The sequence below is a fragment of the Homo sapiens genome, chromosome 12 (genome assembly GCF_000001405.40).
Source record: "Homo sapiens chromosome 12, GRCh38.p14 Primary Assembly".
Classification (NCBI taxonomy): Eukaryota; Metazoa; Chordata; class Mammalia; order Primates; family Hominidae; genus Homo; species Homo sapiens.
In genome coordinates, this window is record NC_000012.12 from 41,642,458 (window position 1) to 41,667,624 (window position 25,167).

General features: G+C 38.0%; 1 pseudogene, besides 1 other annotated feature; it reads left to right on the forward strand.

Moving 5' to 3' along the window:
* Positions 231–785: an enhancer, noted in NCBI's record as "H3K27ac-H3K4me1 hESC enhancer chr12:42036490-42037044 (GRCh37/hg19 assembly coordinates)". NCBI's record gives its function as "activates a minimal SCP1, AML or CMV promoter by ChIP-STARR-seq in naive H9 embryonic stem cells {active_cell/tissue: H9 hESC(naive)}" and the evidence as "EXISTENCE:reporter gene assay evidence [ECO:0000049][PMID:30033119]".
* On the forward strand, positions 16,219–16,336 carry RNA5SP360 (RNA, 5S ribosomal pseudogene 360; annotated as a pseudogene).

Sequence of the window (25,167 nt, forward strand, 5' to 3'; positions counted from 1 at the left end):
GGAGCTGTGTTCCTTTGGAGGAGGAGAGGCGCTCTGATTTTTAGAGTTTCCAGTTTTTCTGTTATGTTTTTTCCCCATCTTTGTGGTTTTATCTACTTTTGGTCTTTGATGTTGGTGATGTACAGATGGGTTTTTGGTGTGGATGTCCTTTCTGTTTGTTAGTTTTCCTTCTAACAGACAGGACCCTCAGCTGCAGGTCTGTTGGAGTACCCTGCAGTGTGAGGTGTCAGTGTGCCCCTGCTGGAGGGTGCCTCCCAGTTAGGCTGCTTGGGGGTCAGGGGTCAGGGACCCACTTGAGGAGGCAGTCTGCCCGTTCTCAGATCTCCAGCTGCATACTGGGAGAATCACTGCTCTCTTCAAAGCTGTCAGACAGGGACATTTAAGTCTGCAGAGGTTACTGCTGTCTTTTTGTTTGCCTGTGCCCTGCCCCCAGAGGTGGAGCCTACAGAGGCAGGCAGGCCTCCTTGAGCTGTGGTGGGCTCCACCCAGTTCAAGCTTCCTGGCTGTTTTGTTTACCTAAGCAAGCCTGGGCAATGGTGGGCGCCCCTCCCCCGCAGCCTCACTGCCACCTTGCAGTTTGATCTCAGACTGCTGTGCTAGCAGTCAGCGAGACTCCATGGGGTAGGACCCTCCAAGCCAGGTGCGGGATATAATCCCGTGGTGCGCCGTTTTTTAAGCCAGTCAGAAAAGCGCAGTATTCCGGTGGAAATGACCCGATTCTCCAGGTGCCCTCCGTCACCCCTTTCTTTGATTAGGAAAGGGAACTCCCTGACCCCTTGTGCTTCCTGAGTGAGGCAATGCCTCGCCCTGCTTCGGCTCGCGCACGCTGCACGCACCCACTGACCTGCGCCCACTGTCTGGCACTCCCTAGTGAGATGAACCCGGTACCTCAGATGGAAATGCAGAAATCACCCGTCTTCTGCGTCACTCTGGCTGGGAGCTGTAGACCGGAGCTGTTCCTATTCGGCCATCTTGGCTCCTCCAATTGTTTATCTTTTAAAAGTATTGTAGGGCAGCCACAGTCATGCCTTGCATGTGCCATTTCTAAACCATTCAGTATTATGATTTATTTTTAAAGTAACATTTGTTATTTTTCTGATGATAATAATAAAGTTAACTCATTGTAAAGTTTGGAAAATATAGAAAAAATGTAAAGAAAATAAAAATCATACATTAGACCCACCATCAAAGATAGCTGACACTAATAAGTTGATGAATTCCCTTTCAGTATACTTATGATGCATGTAAATTTTATGCTAATTTATAATAACACCTTTTTCATTTTTTAGGATAGCAAATTTGCTCCCTTTGAAATGACAATACGTGTGTCACTATCCATTGCCAATTGATTTCAGCTCCACAGGTCTTATAATTAGTGTAAATCCTCAATGTCTGAATATTGACAGAGACTAAGTCACAGATGTTATCCTAAACAGAAGCTTATTTCAATATACATTATTTTCTATAAATTTAATATTGTACTATATAAATTATTTTTAACTTAACTTTTTCCCACTTCATATGATACCATCACCCTTTCCCTATGCTAGAGTCTTCCCAATATGATCTTTAGTACCATGCGTTTTAAGCTAAATTGTGTCCTCTCAAAATGTGTATGTTTATGCCCTAACCTACCAGTACTTCAGAATATGACTGGGTTTGGAGATAAGGCACACAAAGAGGTGAATAAGATACAATGAGGACATCAGGATGAGCCCTAGCCAAATCTGATTGGTATCCTTATAAGAGGAAATTTAGACACACAATGAGAGACACCAGGGGTGAGTGTGCATAGAGGAAAGACCATGTGGAGAGACAGCAAGAAAGCTGCCATCTGCAAGCCAAGGAAACAGGCATCAGCAGAAATCGGACCTGCCTGCATCCTGATCTTGCACTTCTAGCCTCCAGAACTGGAAGAAAATAAATTTATAATCCTAAGCCACTCAGTCTGTAGTATTTGTTACAGCAGCCTAGCAAACTAATATGCTGCTTTATACAATTTATGTAGTCACTCACTTACTGTTAAGTGCCAGTTTCTCTTTTTTAAAAACAATGTTAGGATGTACATCTCTGTAAAGAAATTCTTACTGGATTATTGACTATCTTCTCAGAAGAATCTTTAAAATTTTCCCATTACAAAAATAACATATATTTATTTATGAAAATCAGAAAATAGAGCAAAAAAAAGTAGCATAATGTCATTATTCGAACACAAAGATGGTTATATTTATTGTATTTCTTTCTAATGTTGCTTTTTCTTATTTAGACACTGCGATGGTTAATTTTATGTGTCAACTTGACTGGGCCATGGGATGCTGAGTTATTTGATTCAACATCCTTTCTGGGTGCATATCTGAGGGCGGTTTCTGAAGGGGACCAGCATTAGAACTTGTGGCCTGAGTAAAGCAGATGGGCCTCCCCAGTGTGAGTGGGCATCCTCTAAGCCTCTGAGGGCCTGAATACAACAGAAATGTGGAGGAAGGTTGAATTCACACTCTGTCTGACTGCCTGAGCTGGGACAGCAATCTTCTCCTGTCCTGCACACTCCTGCTTCTCAGGCCTTCAAACTTGAACTGGAATCTATACCATCAGCCCTCTAGCTCTAAGGTCTTCAAACTAAACCACCAGCTTTCTTGAGTCTCCAGCTTGCAGATGGCAGATTATGGGACTTCTCAGCCTCTATAATTACATGAATAATAAATCTTACATATATATTACATATATACACATATATATCTCATTTAAATATATAAATTTAAATATAAAAATAATAAACATTATATTTATATCTCAAGATTTATATATATATTTTGTTTCTCTGAGAAACCCTGACTAATACAGGTACTTAAAACAATGATTGTAATCATGTTTATGATTTTTCATTTTGCTTTATAAATTTGACATAACATCATCAGCATTACTTCATATTATTGCATACTCTTAATAAGTATTTTAATGGCTCCATAGTAAGTAAGTTCATTAAGAAAGTAAAACTAAGCCTTCCCTCACCATAATTTTCTTTCTATCTGGTGTTTAGACTTTTACTAGAGTACAGCTCAAGCTACAGATGTGAAAGAAATAATAGAATAAAGAAAAGAGAGAAAGAATGGAAGGAAGAGAAAGAAAAAGAGGAAAGAAAGAAAGAAAGAAAGAAAGAAAGAAAGAAAGAAAGAAAGAAAGAAAATGGAGGGAAGGGAGGGAGAGAGGGAGGGAGGGAAAGGAAGAGAGAGGGAGAGAAAAAGAAAGAAAGATAGAAAGAGAAAGAGAGAGAAGAGGGAGGGAGGAAGGGAGGAAGGAAGGAAGGGAGGGAGGGAAAGGGGGAGAGAGAGAGAAAGAAAGAAAGAGAAAGAAAGAAAAAAAGAAAAAGAGAAAGAAAGAAGAAAGAAAGGAAGAAAGAAAGAAGGAAAGAAAGAAAGAAAGAAAGAAAAAAGAAAGAAAGAAAGAGAGGAGGGAGAGGGAAGAAAGGAAGGAAGGAAGGGAGGGATGGAAGGAGAGAGGGAGGAAAGGGAAAGGGAAAGACAGCAGCTTAAACTGATGGCCGTTCATTTCTCTGTCACACAACAGTCCATGGCAGGCAAGGGTTCAGGCCTCCCTCACCCTGGCCCCCCACTGTGTGCCCCAGTTGGCTACTCTAGGTCATATTATCTCCCAGCCAGCATGATGTGGAGATAGGACCAGGTGAGTGCCCTCACAATCCTTTTAATGGCAAGACCCAGGAGTGGCACACATCACTTCTACCATGTATCACTGACCTCAACTTAACCTTATGGCCACATCAGCAATAATGGAGGGCTGGATCCTACACTTCCGATAAAAATAAAAAATATATTGACTCAATTGGCATTTATTGCACAAACGTTGTGTGATCGAGACTTTCAGCAGTTACTTCATTTAATATTCTCTGACTAGATATCATCAGCTTGGTAGCTGGGGGTCACCAAGCCACTGCAGAGGTTAAGTAACCTTCAAGGTCTCAACATCTCCTTTATTCAGACAGAACTAATTCCAAGTCTGTTTAATTCCAAAACTACTGTTCTTCCTGGTATATTATTATTTTGTTTCTTTATTAAATTCCTAAAGATTAAACTTTAAAACTTCAAAGCATTTACTTCCAAGACTTCTGAATTTTTAAAATAATTCTTAGTGAAATAAAGAATCTCTGTTATGCCTCCAAATACAGGTTTAGTAGAAAATATTGTCAGGTAGTTTTAGAATAAGTTCTGTCTCTGGACTTCTGGGACTAGTTAAGTAAATAACCAGTATTTATAATGCTCCATTTGTTCCCATGTAAATTATGACAACAATAGTCATTGTTTTTCAAACGTTTCTAGATCTTAGAGAATAGACCTTTTTGTGACAGGAAACTGGAAAAAATATCCCCCCAGATTATTCACACAAAAAATAGTGATATTGTTTTGCTAGGGGCAAGGTCAGAGGGAAGAATTCTACCCTTCCTTCATATGATGAGAAAATAAATGGAAACATGACAAGATGGCTTACTTTTTAGGAAAACTAATGAGGCAATCAACTGCATGGCTTTCTGCTGGGAAGATTGAACTAGAATTGGAGCACCCAGGTTCACTGTCACATACAGGATTGAAGCCTTCACATCTGACACTCAACTTTGCAGGACACAAGGGACCAAAAGGGAGGAATTTCTCCCTGTGGAGCATCAAGGAGTTTTGTAAAAGGTTTTTCAACTGAGAGACATGAAAGAGGGCCTCAGAGAGGGGACATTTGGAATGGTCTCTTTTTGGAAAACCGAAGCCATAAACAAACCCTTCCCTTCTTTGGTTAAGAGTATGAGTAGATTAGATTCAGTGACAGCCTTTGTTCTCTCTCATACTATATTGCTTTTTTGAGAGTTACTGCAGCTTAAGAAAATAACTTTGTATATTTCCATTATAGAGGGTTTGGTCTGGGGAAGATAGTCAGGACAGTAGGTACACAAGGAAAGGATGGCAGCTGCTCTCCAAACATCTTTCCAGGGCTACAGAGCACGGGGTGGGTGGAGGTGGAGCTGGAGGTCAATTCTTTGGATGAAATCCTCCAGCCCTGCTTTGCCCTCCACCCTCCCACCATCACCCATGATAAGCATGGAGCATCGTTCAGGACAGAAAAGAAGAAACTCCTTCACGCCAGGCTATATGCATGTGGTAAGCCCAGCTAAAAGTAATGGACACATGAGCAAAATGTTGAGGATTTAGAATTCCAGGTGCCTCTCAGTGAAAGTGGCAATGGTTAATTGAATAGAATACATAATCAAATAGTACAAGTAGGCCCGGTGCGGTGGCTCACGCCTGTAATCCCAGCACTCTGGGAGGCCAAGGTGGGCGATCATGAGGTCAACAGATCGAGACCATCCCGGCCAACGTGGTGAAACCCTGTCTCTACTAAAAATACAAAAATTACCTGGGCATGGTGGCATGTGCCTGTAGTCCCAGCTACTCAGGAGGCTGAGGCTGGAGAATCGCCTGAACCTGGGAGGCGGAGGTTGCAGTGAGCCGAGATCGCGCCACTGCACTTGAGCCTGGCAACAGAGTGAGACTCCGTGTCAAAAAAAAAAAAAAAAGTACTTTTTTTTCTTTAGAATTCAACATCAGCTAAAAGGCTTCTACTGTTTATGTTTTATTACCTGGTTTGTTACACATCTATTGTAAAGTGCTATTAAATTATAATAAATTAGTTTTCCCTCCACAGAAGTGTCACCTGAACATACTTAGCTGGCTCATCAGTGCCACAAATATGTAATTATTTATCTTATTAAGCAGTTTTGTTACCTTTTACACATTGCATAGTGCTTTTTCATTAGCTTTACCTGAAAAAAAAAAGAAGAAGTAAACTATTGTAAAGTGAGAAGTTCTTAGCCATGGTTATATACTCACTAAATTCTAAAGTTTCTTGAGCCTCTGGATCCTGCTAAGAATTTTGCCTTTGATCTACAGATCAAAGACCACAGCAAGAATCTCATTAAAGCTATGAAACTTCTCTCTAGAAAATGAATGTAAACAGAGAATGCTATATAAAATTTCAGGGGTTTTATGGATCCCCAGAAAGCCAGTCGGTGGAACCCCAGATTAAGAAACTCTGGTTTTTAAAAGGATTTTGAAAATTCTTGATAAATTATGTACAACAATAAATTTTCTGATACTCTACACTTCACTCTTTCAGGTATTTATGCATAAGGCAAATATCTATCACTGTAATGGCAAAGATGACAGGGGTAATTTCAATCTGGATTTTGTTGGTTAAAAAAATAAATAATGTCCTATCTCTTCAATCTTTCTACATCAACCAAAGATACATTGTTCAGTCCCTTCCCCCAGGTAAATTTTACATGAAAAAAGAAATTACTTTGGCCACTGCAGCAATGTCAAATCCTAAAGAATTGAGAAAGCATGTCATGTTCTGAGATATATTGGGTGCTTATTCTTTGCTAGACATTTGTGCTAAGCACTTTACATGCATTTTTGCATTTAATTCTCAGAATAAGCATGTGAGAAAGTCACTAGCTTATTTTTTAAATCTCCATCTTATATATAAGGAAATTGAGAGGAACTCAGTAATTTGGCTGAGGTCACACTGTTGGTGATGATGCCAGAACTCAATTTTTCTTTTGCAATTTCTTTTGCCTGGCAACCAGGCAAAAGTCATCAGAAACAGGTGTCTTTTATCTAAAGTTCTGTGAAGGAGGAGCAGTTTTATTTTATTTCAAAGAAACAAATGACATAAATAAATTTGCACCTGCCCTCGATGTTGTGCAAATTTATTTATAATGAATTGCAAAGAAAGGGGAAGTAGCCCTAAATTCAGAAAATTTTAAATAATCTGAAATCAGGTATGTAACATGCAATCCCATTTGTCCAGAAAAGAGGCCAAAGGCAGAACAGTAAATATTTTCCACAGCAAAATTATCACAAGGGTGCATGGAGTCTTCCAATCTCGAGGACACTTCCCGTTTAAATGGAAACTGCAAATCACCAGGTTACCATGTGGTATAAGTCATGAGTCTATCAATCTCTTTCACTCTTCATTTGCCTTAGATTGATTTGACTTTGTGATAATGCATCGTTCTGATCACACTGTGCCATTGTTGATATAGAGTCTCCAGAGAAAACTACAAACAGATAAAGAAGGCTGGCAGCTCAATTTTAATAGAGTCTTAGGATGAAGAACAGTAATATTTGGGAGCATCACCAACTAATACTGGTGCCCAAGAGAACTTTCAAGATATAAGCCAGCAGTAAAATATGTGTAGAAGTGAATGGTAAGGCAGAAACTGAAAACGAATTACTATAACCACTCCAATTCATTGCAAAGTTTTGCTCCTAAGGATATAATACTCAGATGCTTACTGAGCATTTAAATATGCAGCTAAATATGTACCACAGTGGTTAATCAAGTTGAAATACAGGGTTGGGGTTTGTATACGTGAGAAGCTGAAGTCCAGAACAGTTGAATTACTTGAGGTCTCACTGAAAATTGGTGATATTAGGGCTTATTCCAATGTCTGTTCACTATACCTCATTCCTATTCCAGTCTATTCTAGACCAAGTGTCAGCAGGCATTCATTTTCTTTAAAAGTCAGATCACAAATATTTTAAGATTTCAGTTCATTTTGTCTCTGTAGCAACTACTGGGGTCTGCCATTGTATCACAGAGCCAGCCATAGACAATAATAATGAATGGGCATGTGTTCCAATAAAACTTTATTTATAAAACAGACAGCTGGCTGGATTTTGCTGGCAGATAGTAATTTGCAACCCCTGCTCTAGACTACAAATTTCATCTCTGCCATTCATTAATTATAGGTTTTGAGTTAGTCAGTAGTCTCTTTCAACCTCAGTTTTATCCCCCAGTGAAGTATACTATTTTCCCAATAGTGGAAGTAATTTTTCTCAGGTAAATTGTTGAAAATGGCTTTCAATAGAATATAGTTTGGGGAATATCAGTCTTTAGATTTATAAAATCATATACAAATATTTGGGTGTATGTGTGTAAATGTACACATATAATTTATTGAATACCTATAATGTGCTACATACCCTAGCAAACACTTTACAAATAACAGATTTGATCCTAAAAACTATCTTTCAGTGTAGATGCCAGGTGGTTGAAAGACATTAGTGAGTTTGCCAAAGCTGCATAGCACCCAAGTTGTGGAACTGTGATCAGTTGCTTCCTAAAAGCTTCACTCAGGCCCTTACACTATGCTGTCTTTCCACTGTCTTGATGAGGACAAACTACTAATTTTCTTGGGAGTTTCATGTATGTGGAGTAGAAGGCATTTTTTGTGGCAGACAACCTTCTGCCCATACTCAAACATGCACTGCGCCATGTTTTACCAGTGAGTGAAGCAACAGCACTAAAATGTAGTGTTCGTGGCTAGTGTGTGCCCCCATTCTAGTCCAGCTTCCTTTTATACTTTTAGTTGCAATGACTGTTAAGAGGACCCTGTTCTTAGAAATTTTCCCTCTACCTAAAATATTTGGGGATCTCTGAAGAACAGAAACACCTGGGGGCTCCGACTGAGGAACAGGAATGCAAGAGGCAAAAATACATATCATCAAGACACCATACAAGAGAAATAGCCAGGGAGGGACACCACTGGGGCTGGGTTGGGAGAGGGCTCCTGGGGAGCTGCTACCCAAAGAATGCACTGAAGACCATCTGGAGTCCGGTGCTGTAAGGGTAGCCCTCATTGTTTTCCTCATGGCTACTATATCCCGGGAAGAGAAGGGTAATACTAAAAAGCAACACTTAATTCCCCAATAAAGTAAGTGCAGCAGAGACTAGGAATTTATTTTGCTTACAGTTTGATTTCCTGGCCTGTTAATTTCTCAGAAAGAAGAAAAGGAATTTGAAAGTGAGAAATATTTACTTATGTGGGAATAAATATGCATGAAAATGCTAAACAAAAGTGCAAAACCAGTATTTATGCCCGTTTGCATGAATTTTAAAGCAATATGAATCAAGAAAGCTCTAACATTATCATTCTGACTCTTTATAATGGGACAGAGAATACAGTTTTATATATATATATATATAATCAAATTTTATTCTATGTATGAATAGATGCATATTATGTCAATGACTTTCTTGATGAAATAACTATTTTTTCTTGTAAATCTCATAAAAACAGTTTGAGATTATCAAAATTAAGGGATCAAGCTAGTGCATAACAAAGTAAAACATTCTAGTCTGTATATGTAAATGAGGTAACAGCAACACATTCAACATCTGTTAAATTCACAAAATATAATATTCATTTCATAAGGTTTAAAATACGGGCATGAGTATTATGAAGAGGAATATAACTGCACAGAGAGAACTCTGTGACATTTTATTATTTCATATTTACACTCAGCTATATGTGTAAATAAACAGGTATTTTAAGATCTGTGCCAAATGAAAAAATATATATTGCTCTAGCCTGAGCTTTGATGCACATGGTGTATATATGCAGTTTAATTTCAAAAAGAAAATGATGGAGAGCCTGGAGATTATAAAAGTTGTACCTAGAGAAATGAGAAATTATCACCCTAGCCACTTTCCCTGTTGAATAGAAGTCTGGAAATGCATTCATTTTATGTCAGCAGAAAACACACCCTTGCCTTGTAAATTGTTACATATTGTAAAATACAGATTGTCTCTAATTAACAAAAAGAAAGACATTGCCTTTCCAAGTCTGGGAATGTTATCTTATAATTTTGTCACAACTGATCTTTATTTAATTGTTCCATTTTAAAGATGATTTATCTTGTTTTTGCCTCTTTGATTGCCTCCGTCTACTGTATTATAAATTGAAACCACTATTAGCAACATCACTAATTTCCCTTAAAGATCATCTGAGCTTTCAAGCTGAAACATTGCACTCAGTTTTATTTTTCATAAAATTGAAATGGTTTTAGATGGCTAATTTTTATCATTTTTAATGCAAGCCTCAAAGGTAGCCTGTTTTTTTAACAAATAAGTAATTGCTTGGACTGAAATTTTTAACTGCCATATTTCAAAGGGAAGATAATGCTAAAAGGGTGTTGGTTATAATAATTAAGCCCTTTGTTCAATCAAAAATAGACTCTAGCTAAAGGCCACTAAACTTCACAAGGTATATAACAAATCATATTTCAATTTAATGAACACAAACTTTTTTCTTCTGTGTTTAGTATTTGTCATTTAGATGCATAAATAGAGAACTAGATTAGGAATAAATTAAGCATAGAGATAATTTGTGGCAGCTCTAATCAATCGTATCTATATGCACTGTGATTACATGAAATGAAAGGGCCATTCGCATATAAGGCTGATAAATGGCTCTAAGTCCAGAAAGAGTTTGATCTGCAGACCAGCTGTCTTTCTTTTTTTACCCAGGCAAAAAAAAAAAAAAAAAAAAAGAAAGAAAGAAAGAAAAAGAAAGATCAACTGTTTAACTAGAAAGCCTTTACCTAATATTTCAAATGAAATTTAAAATATTACAGTACTAGGTGATGTTCAATAATTAGGATTAAACACAACAGGATAACAAATATTATTCAAAACACAGAACTAAAAACTAAAGGCGTGTGACACAGTTCATTGATGGGAAGATACTTTCCTGGCTGATGTAGAGAAGAAATGATATGGTGCAGAGGATGATAAAATTGAAACTGAAAGCTACAACTACTCGATGAAAGGGTGAGAATGGAGTATTTACTCTGCTGGCAGTGGGGAGCCATTGTGGATCTCGACAGGGATTTACGTGAAGCGGGCAACATTTCTGAAGAGTGATCTGGCAGCTGTTGGCAGGAGAGACTGAACAGAGAAGGGTTTGAACATAGGGTTGCAAGGGAAGAATAATCGTAGTGGCTAAAGAGCACTACTGAGAAGTTGCTGAACATTGGCGGCAGTCTAATACACCTGGTCAGGTGCATTAGTCCGTTTTCACACTGCTATAAAGATAATACCTGAGATTGGATAATTTATAAACAAAAGAGGTTTAATTGACTCACAGTTACACATGGCTGAGAAGGCCTCAGGAAACTTATGATCATGGCAGAAGGTGAAGGGGAAGTAAGATGTATCTTACAGTGGCAGCAGGAGAGAAAGAGAGAGAAAGGGGGAAGCGCCAGACACTTATCAAACAACCAGATCTCATAAGAACTCAGTCACTATCACGAGAACAGCATGGGGGAAACTGTCCCCATGATCCAATCACCTTCTACCAGGTCCCTCCCTCAACACGTGGGGATTACAATTCGGATTACAATTCGGGATTAGATTTGGGTGGGGACACAGCCAAACCATGTCACTAGAAAAGGATGTATTGAGAGATATTATGAAGGAAAAGTTGATAGGACATCTTTCAGTTGAAAAAAAAAATTGAGAAGTTTCTAGAATTACCAACTGGGGAAGTGATTTGGGGACACGAAAGGCTACTTCTGCAAATCAGTTGAGATGGTATAAATTGTGCAATAGTAACAGAGTCCCCAGATCTCCTATGCATAAAACACCAAAGTGTTTGTTGTTGTTTCTGTTGCCCACATACACTACCTGTCCATGGTGGTCAGCTGGTCTCTGCTCCTCCTTAAAAGCCTCACTCAGGGTCACTGCTGATAGCTGCTGCAGAAGGAAGAGAGAAGGGAAAACACACACTGTGTCTACAGCTTCTGCATAGAAGGGACACGAGACTTCCTGTTATGTTCCACTAAGAAAAGCAAGCCACATGGCTCTGCCTGGCTTCAAGGAGATGATGCTGATGATTAGTAATATAATATATCACTTTCTCCTCTTGCAATGGGCCTAGGTATTTTGTATGTAAGAACATTTTTTAGACTAGGTTCTACAAAATATGAAAAGCAATTTATTGCCTTTGTCTCTTAGAGACAAATAAATAAGTGCACCTGAGTCAATGTGAAAAGAAATAGAAATATGTGCAAGTGATAAAGAACATCCCTAGCTATGTAGTCAATTTCATAAATATCCAATCTCCTAAATACTTGGTTTGCCATTTAATAGGACTTTCTACAAATTAGTTTCATATGGCTACTGCAATAGATAACCACAAACCTGATGTCTTAACATACTGTACATTTATTCTTACAGTTCTGGAGGTTAGAAGTTCAAAATCTATTTTACTGGGCCAAAATGAAGGTGTCAGGAGGGCTGCACTCCTTTTGTAGACTGTAGGGGAGAATCTGTTCCTTGCCTTTTCCAGTTTTTGGTGGCTGCCAGCATTTCTTGGCTTGTGATTGCATCACTCCAGTCTTTGGCAGTGGGGAGCCACTGTGGATTTCAGCAGGGACTTGTGTGATGCAGGCAACATCTTCTGAAGAGTGATCTAGCAGCTGTTGGCAGGAGAGACTGAACAGAGAAGGGTCTGATCATAGGGTCACAAGGGAAAAATAATCACAGTGACTCAAGAGCACTAATTAGAAGCTGCCAACATAAGAGTTGGCAGTGGTCACGGCTAGGAAAGGATGTTTTGAGAGATATTGCCATTGCTTCTATGGTCACATTGTCTTCTTATCTTCAGTGTAAATTCCCTCTCTGCCTCTTTCTCATAAGGACTCCTGTTATTATATTTGGGCCCATACTGATAACCCGACATAACTGCCCCATCTCAAAATCCTTTATCTTTCCACATATGCAAAATCATTTTTGCCATTCACAGGTTCCCAGGATCAGGACCTCCTTATCCTTGGGGGCCATTATCCAGCCTATGGCACTCATCATGGAATTACTTCTGTGGCTTCCACTGTGTTTAGATAAGCACAGGATATAAAATCAACCAATGCATCATTAACATAGACCTATGTTCAAAAACATCAGCCATAAAAAGGCTCTAAAAGAATTTTCTAATATAAGGAAAGAAGGCATCATTTTGTTTAAGGTTAGGAGGAAAGGTCAACTAAATTTCATCTAGCTTTAAAAATAGTTGGTCAAGGATGATTCTTGTTTTTGTCAACTTTCTCAAAATCATTGAATTTATTTGTTCAGAAATTTTTTAAGTTTTTAAAAATTTTTTTAATAGTGTCAACTTTTATTTTAAATTCAGGGGGTACATGTTTATGTTTGTTACATGAGTAAGTTGCATGATGCTGGGTTTTGGGGTATAATCGGTCCTAGTGAGCACAGTACCCAACAGTCAGTTTTTCAACCCTTATTCCCCTCCCTCCCTCCCCCGTCTAGTAATCCCCAGTGTCTGTTGCTGCCAAGAGATGATTCTTGAAAGAAGGGGTGTTGCTCCTGCAGGTTGGCAGCCATCGTTTGCACAGTATGGATATTTATCCAGATGAATGAACAACAGTTTGAGACTAAGATTATGTGCAAGGTCAGTTTGCAGGTAAAGAACATGCGCAGGTAAAGAGGACAGTTATGAGGATCTAATGCAAAATTTTCAGGTTTTCAGCATCTCTTTTAAAAAATCTGTTTCTATTTATAGACTTCCAATTGTAGAAGAGCCATTATCTAAGGAATGGAGTCACTTCTGCTGTCCTTGACGTTTCTGTGTAAGTTTGACTCTGCTCTTGAACCTGTCGTTCTAATGATCGAAGGAGAATAGAAAGAAACTAAGAAAAGTCTGACATGTGTACATTAGAAAAGGAAAAAAGCTTTCTGCACAAAAAAATAGATCTAGAAAGGCAGAAAATGAAGGAAGGGGATAAAAGTTATGCCAGACTAAAGAACAAATGGGGAAAATGGGGAAAAATAATTTAAATCATTTTTCTTGCTGTTAGGAATATAATTTTTATTTGCCCCTCTTCTAAAGACTTCAGAATATATATATATATATATATATATATATATATATATATTCTGCAATAAACAAAAATGACACCAGTTTTCTGAGCACTTTTTTTTGCAGAAAATACACACATATATATATATGTATATATATATATATATATATATATATATATATATATCTCCATGGCTAGACACAAATTCCCTACAGAGAAACTTTCCACTAATTATCTAAATTTTACACTAACATCGGTGACATAATGTAAGTTCCAAATTTCAGCAACTCTTCTCTTGAATATTTTTATGTAACATATTGGAGGTTGTAGTTTTTCTCATTGGGTAGGTGTTTCCCAATTATAATCTTACTTTAAATTTTCTTTAAGTGTAAAAATGATTTTAATTGATAGTGTCTGTGCATAAAACAATTTTGGGTAATTAAACATACCTGAATGACAGTAGATCATATTGATTGGTCAGCAATTAACCATAATTAGGAACAAAACAAAATGAAGCAAAAGATAAAATGATCAATTTGTTAATATAAATAGACACACCTTAAGATTTCATTTGTTCTTGAAAATCCTATCTGTCCTAAATTCAAAGGATGATGTCGAATATTATAATCATATCCTAAACAGTCTCTAGCATTCTCCCTAAATTATCACATAAATTATTGTGTATGGAGTAAAGACAACCAGGCTCTGTCTAGGTTTAATGGAAAAGTCCATTCTGAGAGGTAGCTGGATCAATGGGATCTTCAACTATAAATAACATATATTATCCTTCTGAATTTTTCTACCGATTGGTTTATAACCCTTCATATTCATTATCTTGTTTCAAGCTCACAAAATCCCCAGCATTAGTCAGAATAGCCATTGCATCCTGTTTTGTTTAAAAAAAAAAGAAAAAGAAAAAGTGCTCAGAAAACTGGTGTCATTTTTGTTTATTGCAGAGGAAAGTCTAGAACGCAGGTGTTCTGCTGCTCCCACATTGCCTTGTACCTTAATTCTCTAAAACATACACATTGCTTTTTTGGCTAACAAATAGCTCATACTTCAAAAGTTCCAAGGGCATATTTTTCTTTCCAAATCCTTAACAATTGAAAAATCCATCTGGTCTCTGAAAATTGGTCTCTGAATATAAGGACAGTGCTGGTCAGAAGTAGATTCTGGGCTGGTGGGCTGCAAAAACCTAGTCTCATGTCCTATGCAGAAGACACTTGTGCTACCTAGTCTGATTTTCCATGCAACCCAAGTGCACAGTTTCCAGTCAGCTTGGAACCCAAATAAAACCCAAGAAAAATGTTCAAGCAAGACTTTCCCAATGGTTACTTCTAAGCAGGCTGCTCATATGCCACTGCCATCCTTTAGCACATTGCCCTAACTTCATTAAACACTTTTAGGAATATATATGTGTGTATATATATGAAAAGTCTTTATTTAATAAAACCTTATACTTTAGGCATTATGTTATATTTCCAAGAACTTTAGTCATTTTTCACATTAAAGTCTTGAACTTCCCTAATTAAACTGTGAATATTAAAATAACTCTGTGTAAATAGCAAATAACTGGGAGTGAGTGACATTCAGTGGACATTCATAATCAGTTATTGACCACCCCTTAAATACACACACCACAAATACAATCTCCACAATGTTCCCTACTCTATCGTTCAATACATTTTATGCATCGATTATTACATACTAATGGGCTGTGTAATATCCTTTCCAGATTTCATTGTAGGTATTTTATTAAAATGAATAGATTCAATTATAGAAAAAAAATTAAGTCCTTTCCTACTGCTGTTCATTTTAATTGTAAGTAGTTAAGCATTTATATTTTGCACTCTTTGGTTTGCTACATGTGTGATCTGATTCCCATTGGTAACTCCTTGCATATTACCTTTATATTGTAGGTAGTCCAGGTTGTGAATTTCTGAGGTTATGTTGTACACATTCCATTTTTAGCACATACATAAACATTTGCCATCTTCAGAGTTTGCAACAGGAGAAAATAATTTCATTCATTCATTCATTTATGCCACAAATATTTATTGTTTGCCTACTATGTATCAGGCACTGTCTTAGTTACTGATAACAGATTAGTGGAGGAAAAAAGAGAGAGATAAATATCCTTGCAGTGATGATGTTCTAATTTGGGAAGACAGACTACAAAGTTAAAAGTAAAATGTATAATATGACAGATGGCGATACATACTAAGAGAAAACTAAAGCACAAAAAAAGGTTGGAGAATTCCAAGGGTAGGCAGATTTTAAATAGATTGTTTGCCATTCCAGGATGGTATCCTTCCTGAAAAGACCTAAGGAAGATGAGAAAGCAAGCCATACAGATATCTTGAAAACACCACATGCAAAGCAAACAGTAAGTGCAAAAGCTCTGAGGCAGAAATGTGCACAGTGTCCTAAGATTAACCCAGAGGCAGGTATGTCAGGAGCAGAGTAAACTAAGTGGAGAGTAAAAGGAGATAAGAGCAGTGTTGATGGCCATATCACCCTAAGCATGCCAGACCTTGTCTGATCTCAGAAGCTAAGGAGGGTCTGGCCTGGTTAGCATTTGAGTAGGAGATTTTAAGATCGACACACAACAATAAATTATATTTCTACATACTAACAATAAACATGCAGAAACTTAAACACATAATACCATTTATAATCACTCCTAAGAAAATAAAATACTTAGGATAAAAGGGCAGGGAGGTCATGGTAAAAATTGGATAGGGCCTGAATGCTACTGTAAGGACCTTGATTTTTACTCTAAGTCAGATAGGAAGCCATGACTTGATATACATTCTTTCTAAATAAATGTTAAGTCCAGTGACGCTCTAGACAGAGCATCCCTGCATGGTGAGTAGCCCTGCAGAGTCCCCCTGCATGGTGACTCAGTGACCCAGGTGGCCTCTAGTTGTGGCTCTACTATTTCAACACTCAGTTGGCATATTCACTGAGAAGGGGAAAGTGAACTGGAAGGTCCACAGGGGACTTTTTCTTCTTCTTCTTTTTCTTTCCTTTTTTTTTTTTTTTTTTTTTGAGACAGCGTCTTGCTCTGTCGAACAGGCTGGAGTGCAAAGGCCCAATCTCGGCTCACTGCAACCTCCGTCTCCCAGGTTTAAGTGATTCTCCTGCCTCAGCCTCCCAAGTAGCTGGGATTACAGGCGCCTACCACCACGCCTGGCTAAATTTTGTATTTTTAGTAGAGATGGTGTTTCATCATGTTGGTCAGGCTGGTCTTGAACTCCTGACCTTGTGATCCGCCCACCTCAGCCTCCCAAAGTGCTGGGATTATAGGCATGAGCCACCTCACCCGGCCAGGACTTTTTCTTCCACTCACAGTCCATTGTCAACAACTAATCAGAAGCCCCAGAAAATATAGTTCTCCCAGGAGAAATGGAAAACTAAATTTCATTGAGCACCAGTAATGTTTACTATTTGGGGCAAAGGTAGAAGCAGTGAGGCCAGGTAAGAGAAAATTGCAGTTAGCCAGAAAAGATGATGACAACTGCTTGAACCATGTTGGTAGCTGAAGACATATTCTGAATATATTTTGAAGGTAGGAGCAATAGGATTTACTGATCAATTTCGAATGGGGGATTTTAGAGAGGAGGTAAGTTGGAAGGATGGAGTTTCCCATTTACTGAGCAGAGAAGACTTCAGAAGTAGTGCATTTAATGGGAATATCAAGAGTTTGGTTTTGAAACACTGAATCTAAAATTTCCATGGAACGCCCAACTTGAGATGTTGGGTAGATAGTTGGGTATATGAGCGTGGAGTTCAAAAGATAGATAAATGTAGGTATCATCCACATAGTGACAGTATTTACAGCCATATAACATAGAGAGATACCTAAAAAGCATGTGTAGATTTAAAAAAAAAAAAAGAAAGAAACAAAGAAAAAGTTCAAGGACTGAGGGCTGAGATCTAGGGCATTTAAACTTTTACAATTTTGGTAAATGAATAGGACAAGCAAAGGATCTTAAGATAAAGCAACTATGAATCAGGAGAAAAAAACAGCAATGTGCAGTGTTGCATAAATGAAGTGTAAATAATGTATAAAGGAGAGAGTAATCAACATGGCCCAGTCCTCCTAATACACCAAGTTAGATGAGGACTGATAATTGGCCATTGAATTTAGCAACATGGAGGTCATTGCTAACCTCAACAGAAGCTATTTTGTGGAATGGCAGAGAGGAAAGCCAATTAGAGTTCTTCAGGAGCAGAAAAATGGGTGGTAATTGGAGCAGGATGTGGGAGAAATTTAGTATGTCTGTATGCTGATGAGACCAATCCAACAGAGAGAGAATCGAGGAATACGCAGGCAAGGCAGGGGATATTCCTGGGGTGATATGTTTAGTAAAGGACAAGAAATGGGTTCTGACACTTTGGTGGGGGGTTTCTCTCTGAGAAGAGCATCATAGTTTCATCCATTGAAATGGAGAGAAGTCAAAATATCTGGGCACAAATGCGAGTAGGTGGGAAACCGTGATGATAGGAACCAGGGGGACATCTTTCTGATAGCTTCTGTTTTCTCAGTGAAATAGAAGCAAAGTCACCATCTAGAGTTAGAATGAAAGAGGTTTGAGAAGAGAGAGGCAAGCTTGTTGTCTAGCGTGTTGTAGGAGAGTGAATGAACTAGGGGATGGAACACGATTTCCAGACTGCTCTGGGGGACATTTGTTAGTGATCATGAACTTGAAGTTAGGCCAATCAGCATTGCTGGATGTTTTTCTCCAGCCATGGTCGACAGCGTAGGTACAGGGGCAGGTGTGAAATGGCCAAAAAGTTGGGTTTTAAGAAGTCTCATTTACATTGATCATGATCTTGCCACTAAAATTCTTGATTATGTTAACCATCTCCTTACCCACAGATGCCCTGAGACTGGGGAATCACTGTAGAGTCTGCCTTCCACACTCCAGTCTAAATCTACTCGCTCTTTGTTTCCAAACGCATTATCTATACCTAGTTTCCTCTTAGTGCCCACTGCCTCTGCCAGGACTGTTTATCTTATTCCTACTTGACTGTGAAGGATATGGCTCCAATTTTTCTCAAGTGCTCAGCAGCCTCTGGGCCAGTTTCTCACATCTCCACCTCTCCCTTCATGTTAAGGCCTGTCTGCAGCTCCCAGCCTGGATCAGCACCCTGAGTCAGGGTGTTCAGAATGTGGATTGGAGTGAAGTAGTCCTATCACAGAGACCTGTTCTCTGATAAAATAAGAATGGACTGAACACCACTGAGAGAAGAAACAAGAAATCTCGGGCCCCGTCTTACCACTCTGAGCCCCATCTGCTTTTCTGCTTCATCCAGGAGCCAATCCAGAGACAGTTTGGATTGCGAGTGACATAGGGTGACAGATTGCATCATAGAGCCTTTGCTCCTTACCTCAAATTAGACCAATTCTTTCACAGTCCAGATGGTTAATGCTGCTGCGAAGACCTCAGCAACATGTTGAGCTTACCACCCAAATAACTTGCTCCTGGGGAAATTTTAGAAACTGTTATCTAAACAAATGGGAGGTCAGCTTATTTTGTTGGAAAAAAAGAGTCTCTACAGAAACATTTGGGCAGGTTTCAGTTTGGGCAAAAAGCATTTCATTCATTTCATTTTAACGGTCACTGTTGAATAAGCATGAAAAATGTTTTTCATTAGTCCTTCTTCCATATTATACCTGACATTCAGAGGAAAACATGAATTTTTCCTGTGCTTAACAAATATTCTGTAGTGATATGGAGCAGCAGGAGAGATGCAAAAGGAATGGTAATTTCACAAAATGAAAAGGCTTGGGCTAAAACAGCTCATTTATTCCCAGGAAGGAGCAAGACCATGCTAGCACATGATAAAAATAAACTGATGAAATTTCTAATACTGGAGATTATGATTAAAGACAATTTATAATCGGTCTGAAAATGAAATGGGGAGGAATGCTTCATTTTTGTTATTTGCTTCAACCTAATTTATTTTCTCACACCCCATTCATTCAACAGGGGACCCCCAACAGTCTCTCCATAGGTAGAACTTTTTGCCTCATGCTCTGACTAATGCTTATAACCACACAAATAGCTTATTTTGCCAGCTTCTTTTATTGCTATGTCTAGGATTTTAACACTAATGTGATTTTCCTTTATTTTTAATGTTCTGAAATTAATCGTACATGTGTAATATCTAGTTTTGAAATGTAAATGCCTTTGACATTTTGCTTTAATTCCAATGTGAATGGTAATTTAAGGGTTTTATAATAAAGATGAACCAACCTATACAATGAATACATAAACAGGGAACAGGAATATACAAAAGTAAAAGAAGGTTTTTGTAATGTGTTCTCTGTAGATTCCACTGGAGTGGGAGAATAGTGTGAGTTCATTTCTAATACTTCATCACAAAATTAAAGATAGAAAAGAGCTAGTTCAGAATGTTACCTGTTTAAATAACTTATTTTAGGCTAGTTAGTGGTTGTGAATACCAGTAATAGTAAGTAGAAAAAAAGAAAATGGTGGCTACTTTGACGAAAGAATGAGAAAAGCAAACAAGTAATTGACATCTAAAAGGAATACTTCCCGGACGGGCACGGTGGCTCTCGCCCGTAATCCCAGCACTTTGGGAGGCCGAGGTGGGCGGATCACGAGGTCAGGAGATGGAGACCATCCTGGCTAACACGGTGAAACCCCGTCTCTACTAAAAACACAAAATGTAGCCGAGCGTGGTGGCGGGCACCTGTAGTCCCAGCTACTCAGGAGGCTGAGGCAGGAGAATGGTGTGAACACTGAAGGCAGAGGTTGCAGTGAGCCGAGATGGCACCACTGCACTCCAGCCTGGGCAACAGAGCGAGACTCCATCTCAAAAATAAATAAATAAATAAATATAATTTTTAAAAAAGGAATGCTTCCCTTAAGCTGACGTAAGCAAAAACTTGCTAAAGTGTAACATGGAATTTGCATTGAGCACTAATTATGAGCCCGGGAATGTGCTGCATACTTTACCTGAATTGTCTGATTTATCCTCATACAGCTGTATGAGCACTCCTGTTATTTTTTCTTTATTTGCGGATGAAGAGACTAAAGTTCAGAGAAGTGAAATAACTTGCACAAGGTCACACAACTAGTAAATGGCAGAGGCATGATTTAAAATCAAGTCAATCTGACTCCAGACTTATTTTGTACAAAGATAATTTCTTAAAATATGTATTTTCATAAAAATCTTCTTAAAATGTATAAATAGCAAACAACTTTTAAAATGTATAGAATATCTTCTTAAAATGTACAGAAGAAAAAGAATCTTCTTAAAATATATAGACTAGCAAAAGTCTGATAATAAAAGTGCATACCCATTAAAAGTTAAATGACATCTGATGTTAAAATTTTATTAGTACAGAATGTGACACAAAATAGCACTTATTTCTCCATGAGCTTTGCAGTAAGCCCTGATCAACCTTCAAAGGAATCCTCCTGAGTTTACATGAGTTGGAAAATGTGTTTTCCTGGCTCGTTAAAGTGGAACCAATCTCCTCCGTGTGGTAGAGAGAGGCAGTACATGATTCCCTAAGTATTTACCCTGAGGTTGAAATAGCATTCCTACAATTTACTTCGTTCCTCTTAACTTATACCTCTCAGAAGCTCAGTGGAAGCATTGGAAAAGGTTACTACCTTACTTCTAATTCTGCGATTTTGTTCCAAGAACTGGAAGATCCATTCTGGACTGAATCCTATGAGGTACACAAAGGAAAATGATCTCATCTTCTCACTGTGGAGACATCCATTCTCCAACTCTTTGGGGATAATCTGATAGAATGCATTCCTTAGGTTGTTCTGGTGAAGGAGAATTACAGTAATAGTTTCAGCTAACACAGTCAAATTGCATTTTTCCTCACATGAACTGATGTATCAGCAAAAAACTAACAGTCTTTTTTTTAGCAAAACAGGAAATATAAAGTTATTTTTAAAAGAAACCTGGAACATAAATAGGGAAAATAAGTACATAATAGGTTATAAAGTATTAATAAGCTTTTGACAGTTCATACAATTCTTTCAGATAAAATTTTATTTATTTTGATAATGATCCCTTGAGTTGAGTAGGGCAGATATTATTATATTCATTTAACAGAAAAGACAATGGAAGGTCAAAAAGGTCAAGCCGCTCATCTGGGGTTACGTGGATTGAAATTAACACTTCTGAGCTCCAGCACAGGTCTTTTGACTCTTGTCAAGATTTAATATTGATAAAATGTTTATTATAATATCTGGAAGCTTTTTTGGACAATTATTTCATTAAACAGAAAGCTTTCCTGGGGTTTTTCCTGCAGATTAATACTTCTCACTGCATGTCTACCCACGCCACAATATTTCACAGTATAAAATTCCAATGATAAGACATCATCACCCTTCTTGTCCCTAGGATCACAACAAACATCAGTCAGTGCCTGTGATGTGTTACTCTGTATCTGATATTTTCAAATATTAACTGTTTCAATAAGCAGGAAAATGCTAATGAGGTATATATCATTGTTCTTTTTTGTACAGAAGAATCTAGGAGAGGAAGCAATTATCTTAACAATGCTATTAAGTAACTATATCAATCAGGCAGATAGCCTGGCATCCATGCTGTGGTTAGTAACAAAATCAAAGACCTCAGTGAGTTACAATCTCAAAGGTATATTTAGAGCCAACAAGTACTAATGTACTAAGCAGATTCTGCACAGCAAAAGAAACTATCATCAGAGTGAACAGGCAACCTACGGAATGGGAGAAAATTTTTTCAATCTACCCATATGTCAAAGGCCTAATATCCAGAATTTACAAGGAACTTGAACAAATTTACAACAAAAAACCAAACAACCCCATCAAAAGTGGGCAAAGGATATGAATAGACCACTTCTCAAAAGAAGACATTTACGTGGCCAACAAACATATGAAAAAAAACGCTCAACATCACTGATCGTTAAGAAATGCAAATCAAAACTACAATGAGATACTATCTCATGCAAGTCAGAATAGTGATTATTAAAAAGTCAAGAAACAATAGATGCTAGTGAAGCTGTGGAGAAATAGGACTGCTTTTACACTGTTGATGGGAATGTAAATTAGTTCAACCATTGTGGAAGATGGTGTGGCAATTCCTCAGGGATCTAGAACCAGAAATACCATTTGACCCAGCAATCCTATTACTGGGTATATACCCAAATGAATATAAATCATTCTGCTATAAAGACACATGCACACATATGTTTATTGCAGCACTATTTACAATAGCAAAGACATGGAACCAACCTGAATGCCCATCAATGATAGACTGCATAAAGAAAATGTGGTACATATACAACAAGGAATACTATGCAGCCATAAAAAGGAATGAGATCATGTCCTTTACAGGGACATGGACGGAGCTGGAAACCATTATCCTCAGCAAACTAATTCAGGAACAGAAAACCAAATACTGCATGTTCTCACTTATAAGTGGGAGTTGAACAATGAGAACACATGGACACCAGAAGGGGAATAACACACACCAGGGCCTGTGGGAGGATGGGGGCCATGGCGAGGGAACTTAGAGGACAGGTCAATAGGTGCAGCAAACCACCATAGCACACTTACACCTATGTAACAAACCTGCATGTTCTGCACATGTATCCCAGAACTTAAAGTAAAATATAAAATAATAAAATAAAATAATGGAATCATTCTTATCTACAACAATGTATAAATTCTAATTAACTAGTTAACAATATATTTTATACAAATGGGCAAAAAATATTTTGAACTTGATATCTCAATAGGTTAAGTCCTAAGTTTTCTACATTTAGATCATAGATTATAATAGTTGATTAGCCGCAAACAAGATATGTGAGGGAACGATTGGAAGTTCTGAAGGTTATTCTCTGGAAAAGATATTCTCCCTTAAAAGTCCTCTCTTACTAACATTTTAATTAGTCCAAGCTTGGGTATTTTAACTGAATTCAGGGGACCATGTTTTATATTTTTCCTAGATGAGCAATTCACAATGAATTAACACTTCTGCTTTTTTGGCTTATACATAAGTTTATTATGAAGTAAAGTCAAGATCTGAGGTAATTATCCAGAAATTTAGAGCCTTAGCTTTCTTAGACATATTCTTTTTTTTTTCTTTTTTTTTTTTTTATTATACTTTAAGTTTTAGGGTACATGTGCACATTGTGCAGGTTAGATACATATGTATACATGTGCCATGCTGGTGTGCTGCACCCACTAACTCGTCATCTAGCATTAGGTATATCTCCCAATGCTATCCCTCCCCCCCACCCACCCCACAACAGTCCCCAGAGTGTGATGTTCCCCTTCCTGTGTCCATGTGATCTCATTGTTCACTTCCCACCTATGAGTGAGAATATGTGGTGTTTGGTTTTTTGTTCTTGCGATAGTTTACTGAGAATGATGATTTCCAATTTCATCCATGTCCCTACAAAGGACATGAACTCATCATTTTTTATGGCTGCATAGTATTCCATGGTGTATATGTGCCACATTTTCTTCATCCAGTCTATCCTTGTTGGACATTTGGGTTGGTTCCAAGTCTTTGCTATTCTGAATAATGCCGCAATGAACATACATGTGCATGTGTCTTTATATCAGCATGATTTATAGTCCTTTGGGTATATACCCAGTAATGGGATGGCTGGGTCAAACGGTATTTCCAGTTCTAGATCCCTGAGGAATCGCCACACTGACTTCCACAATGGTTGAACTAGTTTACAGTCCCACCAACAGTGTCAAAGTGTTCCTATTTCTCCACATCCTCTCCAGCACCTGTTGTTTCCTGACTTTTTAATGATTGCCATTCTAACTGGTGTGAGATGGTATCTTATTGTGGTTTTGATTTGCATTTCTCTGATGGCCAGTGATGATGAGCATTTTTTCATGTGTTTTTTGTCTGCATAAATGTCTTCTTTTGAGAAGTGTCTGTTAATGTCCTTCACCCACTTTTTGATGGGGTTCTTTGTTTTTTTCTTGTAAATTTGTTGGAGTTTATTGTAGATTCGGGATATTAGCCCTTTGTCAGATGAGTAGGTTGCGAAAATTTTCTCCTATTTTGTAGGTTGCCTGTTCACTCTGATGGTAGTTTCTTTTGCTGTGCAGAAGCTCTTTAGTTTAATTAGATCCCATTTGTCAATTTTGTCTTTTGTTGCCATTCCTTTTGGTGTATTAGACATGAAGTCCTTGCCCATGCCTATGTCCGGAATGGTAATGCCTAGGTTTTCTTCTAGGGTTTTTATGGTTTTAGGTCTAACGTTTAAGTCTTTAATCCATCTTGAATTGATTTTTGTATAAGGTGTAAGGAAGGGATCCAGTTTCAGCTTTCTACATATGGCTAGCCAGTTTTCCCAGCACCATTTATTAAATAGGGAATCCTTTCCCCATTGCTTGTTTTTCTCAGGTTTGTCAAAGATCAGATAGTTGTAGATATGCGG